The sequence below is a fragment of the Homo sapiens genome, chromosome 3, assembly GCF_000001405.40.
Source record: "Homo sapiens chromosome 3, GRCh38.p14 Primary Assembly".
Classification (NCBI taxonomy): Eukaryota; Metazoa; Chordata; class Mammalia; order Primates; family Hominidae; genus Homo; species Homo sapiens.
Genome location: NC_000003.12, coordinates 162,161,085 through 162,173,540, shown reverse-complemented (window position 1 = coordinate 162,173,540; position 12,456 = coordinate 162,161,085). Strand labels below are relative to the sequence as shown.

Below are 12,456 nucleotides of genomic sequence, written 5' to 3'. Positions count from 1 at the left end.
TTTTTAAAAGAGCACTTTCTTTGCTCATCTATAACAAGAAACTCCTCATCTATTCAAGTTTGGTTATAAGATTGCAATAATTTAGTCACATCTTCAGGTTCCACTTAAAATTCTAATTCTCTTGCTCTTTCTAACATATCTGCAGTGACTTATCCTATCTACTAAAGTCTTGAAACCCTCAAAATCACCTATGAGAGTTAGAATCAACTTCTTCCAAACTCTTGTTCAGGTTAATATTTCAACCTCCTCCCATGAGTCATAAATGTTCTTCATGGTATTTAAAATGGTGAATCCTTTCTAGAAGATTTTCATTGTACTTTGTCCAGATCCATCAAAGGAATCGCTATGTATGGCAGCTATAGCCTTGCAAAACTTTTTGTAATAATGAGACTTGAAAGTCTAAATTACTTCTTGATCCATGGGCTGCAGAATGAATATTGTATTAGCAGATATAAAAACAACATCAATCTCCTTGTACTTCTCCATGAGAGCGCTTGAGTGACCAGGTGCATTCTTAATATGCAGTAACATTTTGAAAAGAATATGTTTTTTGGAGCAGTAGGTCTCAACAGTGGGCTTAAAATATTAAATAAATCATGCTGTAAAGAGATGTGTTGTCATCCAGGCATTGCTGTTCCATTTATAGAGCACGTGTAGAGTATCATAATGCTTAAGGGTCTTAGTGTTTTGGAGATAGTAAATGAACATCAGCTTCATTTTAAAACCACCAGCTGCATTAGTCAGTAACAAAAGAGTCAGCCTGCCCTTTGAAGTTTTGAAGCTAGGCACTGATTTCTCCTCTCTAGCTATGAACATCCTAGATGGCATCTTCATCCAAAAGAAGGCTCTTTCTTCTACTGTGAAAATCTGTTGTTCAGTTCAGCTACTTTCATCAATTAACTTCTTATTCTGATCTTCTAGATAACTTGCTATAGCTTCTACATCAGCACTTGCTGCTTCACCTGGCACTTTTATGTTATGGAGATTGCTTCCTTCCTCAAACATCATGAACCAACCTCTGTTAGATTCAAACTTCTGTTATGCAGCTTCCTTAACTCTCTTAGCCTTCGTAGAATTGAAGAGGCTTCAGAACTTGCCAGGATTAAGCTTTGGATTAACAGAGGATTGTGGCTGGTTTGTTCTCCTATCCAAACTGCTAGAACTTTCTCCATAGCAGCAATAAGACTGTTTCATTTTCTTATCACTTGTGTACCACTTTTAATTATATTTGAGAACTTTTTTTTCTTTGCACTCACAGCTTGACTAACTCTTTGGCACAAGAGTCTTAGCTTTCAGCCTGTCTTGACTTTTGATATGCCTTCTTCACTAAGCTTAATCATTGCTACCTTTTTATTTAAAGTGAAAGATGTGTGACTCATGCTTTTACAAGAACACTTAGAGGCCATTGTAGAGTTATTAGTTGGCAAATTTCAATATTGTTGTATCTTGGAGAATAGGGAGGCCCGAGGAAAGGGAGAGAAATGAGAGAATGGACAGTGAGCAGAGCAACTGAAAAACACATAACACTTATCACTTAACTTCACTGCCTTATATGGGCCTGATTCATGGTGGCCCAAAACAATTAGAGTAGTAGAACATTGATTACAAGCCATCATAAAAGATATAATAATAATGACAAAGTTTGAAATGTTGAGAATTACCAAAATGTGACACAGAGACGTAAAATCAGCATATGTTTTTGGAAAACTAAGACTGATAGACTTACTTGAAGAAAGGTTGCATCAAACCTTTAATTTGCAAAAAAACCCACTATGTCTCCAAAGCATAATACAGTCAAACAAGTATAAGTAGCTATGCCTATATTCACTTTTTTCTACATTAAGATTGATTGATCATAGGGAATTTGCTTGCATATATATGTTATCAAAACATCATTTTTCTCCGATTCCCTATGTTCTCCCATATCTATACTTCTTTGTATTACTTAATACTGTTGTTTACTTATTGGGCATATTTCTCAGTCTTTGTGTACATACTGCTGTTGCAAGCCAATTTTAAACAGAAAACTAAAGAATAAGAAATGTCTATGAAACCCAAATTCAGGTTCCTAGGAGAGATGCCTATTTAGCCTAACTTGGGCCAGGTATCTATTCAGCTATAGCTGAGAGGCAAGTTACATGGCCAGCTCTCTACTCAGCAGTGCTTTCAGAGTGGTCTTTAAACAGGCCAAGTGCAATGGCTCATGCCTGTAATCTCAGCACTTTGAGAGGCAGGGGAGGGCAGACCACTTGAGTTCAGGAATTCGAGACCAGTCATCGGCATGATGAAACCTGGGCTCTACAAAAAAACACAAAAATTAGCCAGGCATGGTGGTGCACGCCTGTAGTCCCAGCTACTTAGGAAGCTGAGGTGGGAGGATCACTTGGGCCCAGGAGGCAGAGGTTGCAGTGAGCCTAGATGGCGTCACTGCACTCCAGCCTGGGTGAAAGAGTAAGACTCTGCATCAAAAACTAAAAACAAAGAGAGGTGTGTTAAGAGAGGTCAATGATTATTTTTCTTAAAGAAAAGAAAATGAGCTTGACAGGCCACCAAAACATACAGCTGATACACTCATTCATTCAGGAACATCAGAGCAACAATATTTACTGATATTTCCATCTGTATAGCTAATAAGCATGTTAAATTCAGTCTGTCCTAAACTGAGCTCCTCTTAAGCTGTACCTCCAATCTTTTGCATTTCCACTGAATGCATCACTGTTCTCTCAGACCCCCAGACTTAAAATAGTAAAGTCTATTTTGACTCATTTCCTCTATTATCCTACTCATCGTTTCCAGTAGGTTAATAAGTAAGGCCTTTTTACATCTACAGCACCTCCATTCTAGCTGCTCTTTCATTTCCCTAATTCCAGCACTCTTTCCACTGCTTATTCAACCAACATAACACAGTATAACAAAAAGAAAAACACTTTGTCTCTAGCATCCACACTTTAAATTAATTCTATAAACTGTTACTAGAAACAATTATTCCCCAAAGATCAGCCTATAATTCAGAAACCTTTAAAGCTCAGAACCCGCTAAGCTCTAAATTACTAAGTCATTATTTAAAATAATATATGGAATGTGTTCCTATCTGATTTCATTGTCTGATCCTGAGTTTTCCTATGTTATCTTTAAAAGAATTTGTATCCTAATGGTTTGTTAATTCATGTAGGACTTCCTCTAAAGAATTTGAACCTCTTCTCTTTCTTGCTCCCACGGTTTTACATATCATGTTTTTCACTACAGAATACTACCCTGCCATGAGGACTGGCCAGAAATTTATGCAACTTAGGAAAAAAAACTTTCTCTTTCAAAACCTCTGTTCTTCTTTCCATACCATGGGATTCTCTTCTTCATATAAGTAGTCATTGAAAATTTTCTGTACCTCTCCTCTAATACTCATCACATTCTAACATAGGTATATTTTTAATGGTTTTCTTCATGCTTTCATTTCCTGCTATACTGAAAATAAAAAAGCAAGGAAAGAAGGAAGAAAAGAAAGGAGGGAGGAAGGAAATGATTGAAAACTTTTTGAAGAAAGGGACTTTGTCTTAGTCATTAATCCTTTCCTCAAAACCCTCAAAATAATTTACACAATGAGTAAATGTTAGAGAGGGCTCTTATGAGATTAAAATGGTATAGTTGCCAGGGCAGCGCACAGATTGTTTGAACTCCACTTTGGCCCACTGTCATGAGTCCACATGTGTGATGTACAATAGAGAAGCAAGATCTTCCCATTGTCTCCCCATGGAAACCTTGTCTCAAAGTATAAATGCCACTTTCTTCCTCAAAACGAGACCTTTAAGACCATCCTTTCTTCTGATTATTTCTGAGTACCAGAGGAGGCAGAGTGATGAAGAGCCCATAATGATAGGTGCACTGAGAAGACAAGTCAATGTGATGACTGAAGCTTCATGGACACAAAAACAATGAACACAAAAACAAACAAACAAACAAACAAAAAACAGAACCAGGGGCTGACTTGAATTCAAGGTAGCATTTTCAAATGCAAAATAATAGTATATTCATAGACAAAATGCAAGTCAATAATTGTGGCTCAATTGGCACTATTGACTCTGATCAATTGTATTAGTAACTTTTCTTTTCTGTATTTAAGAGCAGGATGAATATTGCATACACAACAAAGAGATGGAGGTACCTGCAGCTTCAGAAGTGCTCTCTTTCCCCCACCCAGAAGACAGATTTTTTCCTCCCATTTCAATAAACATGAATTACTGCAAATTAACTTAGAGTTCCAATTATATAATGCATAATCTTCTAATGGTAATCATCCTATATATCATATAATATATGTGAATAACATGTTAAATTTTTTAAGTATCATGTCTTCTGAGATTTATTTTACCATGGCCTTCAAGAACCTCTGTGATCTAGGCACTTGCTTCCCCAGAAGCTACATTTTTATTAGAAATATAATTGCATATATGAAAAAATCAAAGTTTTCACTGAAATTGAAATGTTAGAAAAATAGTAGTACTGTGAAAGAAAGGGGACTTATGAAATTTACTCCTCTTATAGAGAACTAAAAAATAACACGAAATTATGCCAGAGGTTCACTAAGCTCTTTAAATGTCCTGATTTCCCAAGGCAAGTGGCAGCTTTCAACTTGTCCTATTTATTTTAAGTGTTGTGCAAATTATATGAAAATAGCCGATTGCATAATATATTTTTCTAGTTGTGGTTGAAAAAATAGCACTTACTTAGAAAAATCCCCAGAGATTTTCTTAGATCATTTCTCCATAAGGAGGAATAATTATTCTACTTTGGGTAGATACTGTCTCATGCTCAGGGAATACATGTACAACAAATATGAAATCCTATGAAGAATGGAATAGAAATACTATTTCAGTATATTCAGTAGTAAAGATATTTTCCCTTGAAGTATATGGGGTTTGAAAAAATTATACAGTAACATTTTCTAGAACTTACTTTGGATCCACGATATATTCTGATGGACTACATAAAGTCACATTGCTAATCTGTAAAAGATGATGGTTGAAAGAATTTAGAATTATCTTGTTCAGACATCTGTAGGTTAATACCATTTTGTGATATTAACAAAATAAATAGTGAATATTCATCCACTATTTTACAGTTCAGCAAAATAACAGTTTTATGTACATTATTCATGGCTAAAGGTGCTTCCCAAAGCAATATTACCCTCAGCAAATGTTTTGTTTCCTATACTTATGTGGCCAAAACTTGACACTGAGAAACGTAATAAAGTTATTTTGTTATATTTTAATGCTTGAAATTCTAGTATTTCAAGAGAATTAAAGTGTTCTTGAGGAAATAAAGCTTCTCAACAGGCCTAAAAATAAAGTTTGTTTCAAAAATTTATAAAGGAAAAGTCATAAATAATAGTCAAATGTATGTGAGGTGGCTGGTCAAAAAGAACATGTAAGCTGTCTACAATCATGGATTAAGTTGTTTTGATACAAACCTTTAGTTTTTGAAAACAGCTACCTTCACAAGAATACTAAAATAACCATTATCCAGTGAGGAAGCAACTAGCTCTTAATGGCTACCTAGAGTAGAGGTTGGCATGCAGAAGAAAAATGAAAGGGGATTTTACCATGGAACCGAGCAAACACCCATAGAGTAAATGTCTTCACCTAAAGTTGGGGGTGGGGGTGCTTACAAATAGTAATGAAGCTAAGAGATCATATTTTCCCAACTGTAGTCAAAGAAAATATTCATTCCCAGGAGTACACTTTTATAAGGTCATATTGTGATAGCATTTTAAGAGATGCACTTAGCAGAGGCAGTTAGGAAACTTGTACCTCCAGAATATACACAGACTTCTGAAATAGCAATTAAAAAAAATCAATTCACCACCACCACAACAATAACACTCCCCTAGTCATTCTTGATCAAGAAAACTAAATAAAATTAAAATTAAATATTTAAACACTATTATAATAGAATATATCCTGAAAAAAAGAAAAAGTTGTGGAAGGGTTTCAAAATTATTTTCTTCATCACACTTACTGAACTGCTAAGTGTCAGGCACAGGGGTTACGGCAATAAATAAGACAGACAAAAATCCCTGCCCTCAGACATATTAGAATCTAGGGAACACCAAATTGCACAAATAATTAAGCAATTAATTATTTAACTTACAACTGGAAAACACTCAATGAAGGAGCACACGATGCTTTCAACGTGTATTACAGTGGATACTATTTGTTAAAATTATTCTGGGAAGTTCTGCAAAAAAGTTTTTAAGGCATCCCACCACCTCTGACTACTTAACTGGCACCTGTCCTCACTGACCATCTTGAAATGACAGTATTTAGTGTTTTGGCTTCACTGCGATGGTGAGTGTGTGTGAGTGAGCAGAGGGGGTTGCTGTTCTTCTATACAAGAGGAAATAATTCATCTTGTCCTTTATACGAATATCAAATTGAGGAGTCCAGATATCACATATACTAGAGAAGACTACTATCTGTCTTGTGTCTTTCTGTTAGTTTATTGTGAGCTGTCTCTATTTCCTGATACTTCTCTATGACCATATTTTCTCCAACCAATAGTCATCACTTATTGGGTAGTATTCATCATCATCTAATTTAATCCTTACAAAATTCTTAGTGACTTAGATGTTACTATTGGTACATTAAGATAAGGAAATCAAGAATCAGAGGAGTTAAGTCAAAGAAACCACTATGCAAGATGAGTAACTACTTTGTATCTGTTAGTAGAAAATATATCCTGAGGTATGCTGACTTGGAACCAAGCTGAGAAAAGTAGAAAATAGATAGACTTTGTCCTTCTTTGTCTATTGCAATCTGGACGTCGTAATTTTAGTTTAGGTCTTATGAATGAATCAGAGATTTCCTGTGTAAACATCCAGTTGGGTAAGAGATTGGGGTAAGTGAATTACTTTTAGGCTTTTTTTGAGCTTGGGATGAAGGTTCTTCTTCAAGGGTTATAAGATATCCTAAGGAGACCAACGTCCACTGGAAAGCAGATGTACAGAGGAGTAGAATTCCCAACCCAGGATGCCAGTTTTATTACTATATCACTGATGAGAGAGAAAACAATGACACATTTTGAGTGTTTTTATTTGGATTTTCCATATTTTCTTGACTACCTAGAATCTGATTTAGTCAACTTTACAATAAAATAGAAATAACTACTTTCACAGTGTTGGTTTATACATTATAAACTAATGTTTTAGTTGGCATTGCAGTACCCCAAGCTAAAGGGATCCACTCAGCTTTTAAGGAGGCATTCTTCACACAGGTGGATTCAATTTCCTTTTGGTATGTCAGCATTGGTGCCCAGCTCAGGCTGTCCAGCTGAGTAGAATGACATTCCTGTTCAGGTATGCCATGCATACAGTGGTTCTCAAGGAAGGCTGCAAATATTCATCATACACATAACAGATACACATGCCTTGTTCTCACCTTCAGATATTGTTATTTATTTGATTCATGTGCAGCTCAAACATTGGTTTTTGACACTTGAAGCCACTTCTCAAGGCGATTCTAATATAGCCAGAGTTAATTATCAATGAGCTCAACTGGCAAGCTAAAAATAGTAATTTCACCAAAGTGGAATCTAAATAACCCAAAGACAACAAGAAAGAAAGCATTCTGATGCTGCGTTGTGGCTACAGTGGAGTTGATGCTGGTGGTTTTGAGTGTGTGTGTGTGAGAGTAAGTGTGAGTGTGTGTGAGTGAGAGTGTGTGTGTGTGTGTGTGTTTGGGAAGAAGCAGCTTAAAGACACATAACTGCACTGGCTGTGGAGAGATTCGATTTTTATTCCACACTAAGTGGGTAAAGATTATTGGAAATGCATTTCTATGAGGAAACCAGAAATTTTGAATTAAATAAGTCTAGTGGTTAAGGTAAGGCAAATATACAAAGGGCAGTTTACTAAATGTCAATATAAAACTTAAAATGCCAATGGGGCACAAGAGTAGACAGCTTCAGTTTGAGGAAAGGACATAAAAAGCTGTCTGATTAGACTGATACTTTTACTTTCTCTTCTGCTCTGTTAGCATGCTCTCTCACAACAAAGATTTACTGACTAATCAAGTTACATATAACATTATTTAAATGGCATATCTTTTTTCAACAACTGTTGAAAAAATACAAGGATTTTCTTGTTCTTTTCTCAATGCTTGATTGTGAATATTTATGCTAGTAAATTATCAAGGAGAGGTAAGACAGAATAATAAAATTTTTCTCAGCTTACCAAAAACCTAGGGTCACAGTTGTGAGAAAATATAAGCTGAGATATTGGCATATTCTTTGTCTTTTGTTTTTTAGTTCACTTTGCATGTGACTCTATACTGAGGAGACTTTGTTTGCTCTTTGGCCAGAGTATTTGACCTCACACAATGCAGATTTTCCACAGCTACAATTTGAACTTAGTGCAGATTTTTTTCCTTTGAGTAATTTAAGCTCTAGAATAATATTCACTTTCCATCCCATGATCATTCATACATTATTTTTATTTAAATCACTTTCTTTATTATTGTCTAAAGCATAAGATCAGATAGGATAAGGGGGTTAGTGTAAATAAAATGATGTTTACGAAACTGGTTACATTATCATTGATGCAAGCAAACTCGAAATATATGCATTAAGATTCTATTACATGCCAGGTATTATGTTGGATAAGTGGTTCTGAAGCTTTAGCATGCATCAGAATCACCTGGAAAGTTTGTTAATACATGAATCACTGTGCCCCACTCCCACAGTTTCTGAGTCAATAGGTCTGAGGTGGGCTTAAGAATTTGCTTAAAATACAATGCAATGGTTGCTACTGCAGATCTCTTCTCTGCTCCATGTTCAGGGGTGTCCTTTTGATAGGCTGAAATAAGCCGTGGTGGGAGCATTTAAACTACAGAAATCTACAAATGCTACAAATCAGAGATTCCCCCCTTCCATTCTCCTTCCCATAGGAGCTAGTTTTTAAACATTTACCAGCAGACCATTGGGACAGACATTGACATTTTTAAAGCCCACATGTGATTCGCATGTTGAATTCAGTTAAGAATGATCTAGAGGGAAAGTTCTGGGAGGGAAGACAAATATATGATACTTAGTGTGGTAATATATAATATGATTTATAATGCAGGAACAGGAGTGTGGATGATTGATTCTCTTCTGTGGAAATTTGGAAATAACTAATGGAGGAAGTTCAGTCTGAGCTAGAATTTTAATGCAATATAGGACTTAAATTGCAAATGCAGCAAAGAGTATTTGTCAAGAAAGAAGGCATTCCTGCCAAGACCAGTGAAAAACAAGAGGACATGTTTGGGGAGCATATTAATTTTGGATTAATCATCAAATCCAATAAGCATTATTGAAATTACAATATTTGCTGATTATCTTCCCTACTGGACTATAGGCTCCATGAGGACAGAGACTTTGCCTGCCATGACATAGAAGCTTCTAATATAATATCTGGTACATAGTACATGCACAAAAATTATTGTGTATGAACGATGTGCCTCCAAAAAAGCTGAAAATGAAGTAAATGGGATACATTATTCACAGTGACTGGGTATAAAATATGGAATTAGTCCTTAATTTTCTCAACGGGGCAAGAAAATCTACAGTACTGTATAAAAAAATGGCAGTGATCTACAGGTATGTGAGAAGGAACAATAATTTGTGGAGAAAATACTAGAAGGACAACAATTTGTGGAGAAAGGATTCAAAGTTTAAGTTTAAAGACACTATAAAATCTGGCAATTTGTATTTTAAAAAGTTTGTGAATACTAATTAAATGATTCATTTCACTTTTTAAAAATTTTGAAATATTAATTGGCACCTAAACTGTATAAATATTAATTGGCACCTAAACTGTATAAATACAGTTATTAGAGATAGGCATCAGTAATACAGATTGAGAAAATTACGACTGTTATTTGAGCTATGATGATTAGGAAGTTAGTTCCCTTCTTTTAACTCACCAAGAAATATCTTAAATATATAACCTACTTACATCAAGCACAGTCAAAAATGGTTAATTAAAAAAAAGATTGGTTTTTGCTTGTTTAGAAATTTGTCTAATGCAATCGGGAAATTCTATTTTGAGTTTGTAGACATTAACTCATATAATATACAGAAAGGCTTCAAAATCCAAAGACAATATTCAAGTAAACTATAGCACATTACCCAGGAAGAATCCTTAAAACTATTTATTTAAGATTACATCTTTTCTAAAATAAAGATAGTGAGCTTTAGTCCAAAGAATCATCTACTGTCAGGGAGTTATACATGTATAGAGTTCCAGTGATTGTTTTAGAAAATAAATTAGAGAAAGATAGCTAGAAAATGCAAAATACTTAGAGACTAAGCAACAAACTGATAAATACACCGGTCAAAAAAGAAATCTCAAGAACAATTTAAATATACTTCGAACTAAATTAAAACATCAAAATTTGTGAGGTACTGTGAAAGCAGTGCTTAGAGGAAAATTCATAGCATTGAATGCATATATTAGAAAAGAAGAAACATCTAAAATTAATGATCTAAGCTTTCACCCTAGGAAACTGAGGGTGGGAGAGTGGAAGAGAGAGAGAGAGAGAAAGAAAGTAAGCAGAAAGAAAAAAATAAAAATAAAAATTACAGCAGAAATTAGTGAATTGAAAACCGTAAACTAATAGAGAAAATCAACACAACCAAAGGCTGGTTCTTTGAAAATGTCAATAAAAATAAATAAGCCTCTAGACAGGCTAACTGAGATAAAAAAGGAAAACACAAACTGTTACCAGATATAAAGGAAAGGGCATTATTATTTATTCTACAAACATTAAAGGGATAATAAAGGAATATTATGAACAACTCTGTGCCCAGGGATGTGGCAACCTAGATGAATAGACTGATACCTTGAAAAATTAAATTTTGAAAAACTTACACAAAAAGACACAATCTGAATAGGCCTATATTTATTAAATACATTGAACCAATATTTAAAAACCTTCCAAACCAGGAAACGTCATGCCAAGGTAGATTCACTTATGAATTCTACCAAATATTTCAGTACAAATTTACACCAATACTTTACATCTAAGAGATATAAGCAAAGGGAATGTTTCCTGACTCATTTTATGAAGCCAGTATCACCCTAATAACCAAAGTCAGATAAAGATATCAAAAGAAAAAAAAAACTAAAATCCTATATCTCTCATAAGTATAGATGCAAAAATCCTCAAAAATAACAGATTGAATCCAACAATCTATAAGAATAATTATACACTATGATTAAATAGGTTTTATTCCAAATATTCATGACAAGTTAAACATTCAAAAGTAAACTATGTAATTTTTCATATCTTTTTGCTAAATAACAAGAGTGAAAAAAATCACATGATCATATTAATAGATGCAGAAAGAGCATTTGACAAAATCCTGCTCATTCATGATAAAAACTCTTTGAAAACCTGAAATAGAAAGGAATGTCCTTGATTTAATAAAGAATATCTATAAAACACTTAAAGTCAACATCATGCTAAATGCTGAGAAACTAAAAGCTTTCCTGCTAAGATCAGAAACAAGGTAAGGATGCCTTTTCTCATCATTGCTTTTCAATATCATACTAGAAGTCCTAGATAATACAGTAAGACAAGAAAAGAAAAGGTATACAGACTGTGAAAAACAAAATAAAATTGTATCTCTTCACAGATGGCATGACCATTTATATATAGAAGATCTGGAAGAATCAACATTAAAAAAAAGTCCTGGAACTAATATTATAGCACTATTGCACAATACAAGGTTAGTATGCAAAAATCAATTGCTTTTCTATATACCAGATATAAACAAGTGGAATTTGAAATTTAAAAAACATTACCATTTGTATTAGGAACCCCAAAATTAAATACTTATGTATACATTTAACAAAATATGTGCAAGATCTATATGAAGAAAATTACAAACTTCTGATGAAAGAAATTTTAAGAAAACTAAATAAATGGAGAAATATTTTATGTACATGCATAGAAAGATTCAATGTTGTCAAGATGTCAGTTCTTACCAACTTGATCTATAAATGTAATGTAATGTAATCCCAATCAAAATCTCAGCATGTTACTTTGGGAATATTAATAAATCAAGTCTAAATTTTATAGGGAGAGGCAAAAGACTCAGAATGATAAGCTCAGTATTTAAGAACAAAATTGTAGGACTGACACCACTCATCTTCAAGACTTACTATAAAACTACAGTAGTTTGTGCAGTGTGGAATTGGTGAAAAAATGCAATATAATAGAATAGAGAGCCCAAAAATAGGCATTCATAAATACAATCAACTAATTTTAATTTTCACATTGTGTTGAGCAAATGCAACACAATGGGGAAAAGGCAGTCTCTTCAACAAATGGTGCTGGAAAAACTGGGCATCCCATGCCAAAAAATACATCTAGATACAGGCCTCACACCCTCTACAAAAATTAACTTGAAATGGAAGTAAAT

The 12,456-nt window shown here is 34.2% G+C and overlaps 1 long non-coding RNA gene across 1 annotated transcript in view; it reads left to right on the top strand.

Annotated features, from left to right (window-relative positions):
• The window catches only part of LOC107986048 (uncharacterized), a 32,992-nt gene extending 21,232 nt beyond the window's left edge, over positions 1-11,760 (top strand). The window contains exon 3 of the long non-coding RNA XR_001740570.2: positions 11,668-11,760. This is a non-coding gene — a long non-coding RNA (uncharacterized LOC107986048). The remainder of the gene's footprint in view (positions 1-11,667) is intronic.
• Positions 11,761-12,456: the final 696 nt, after the last annotated feature.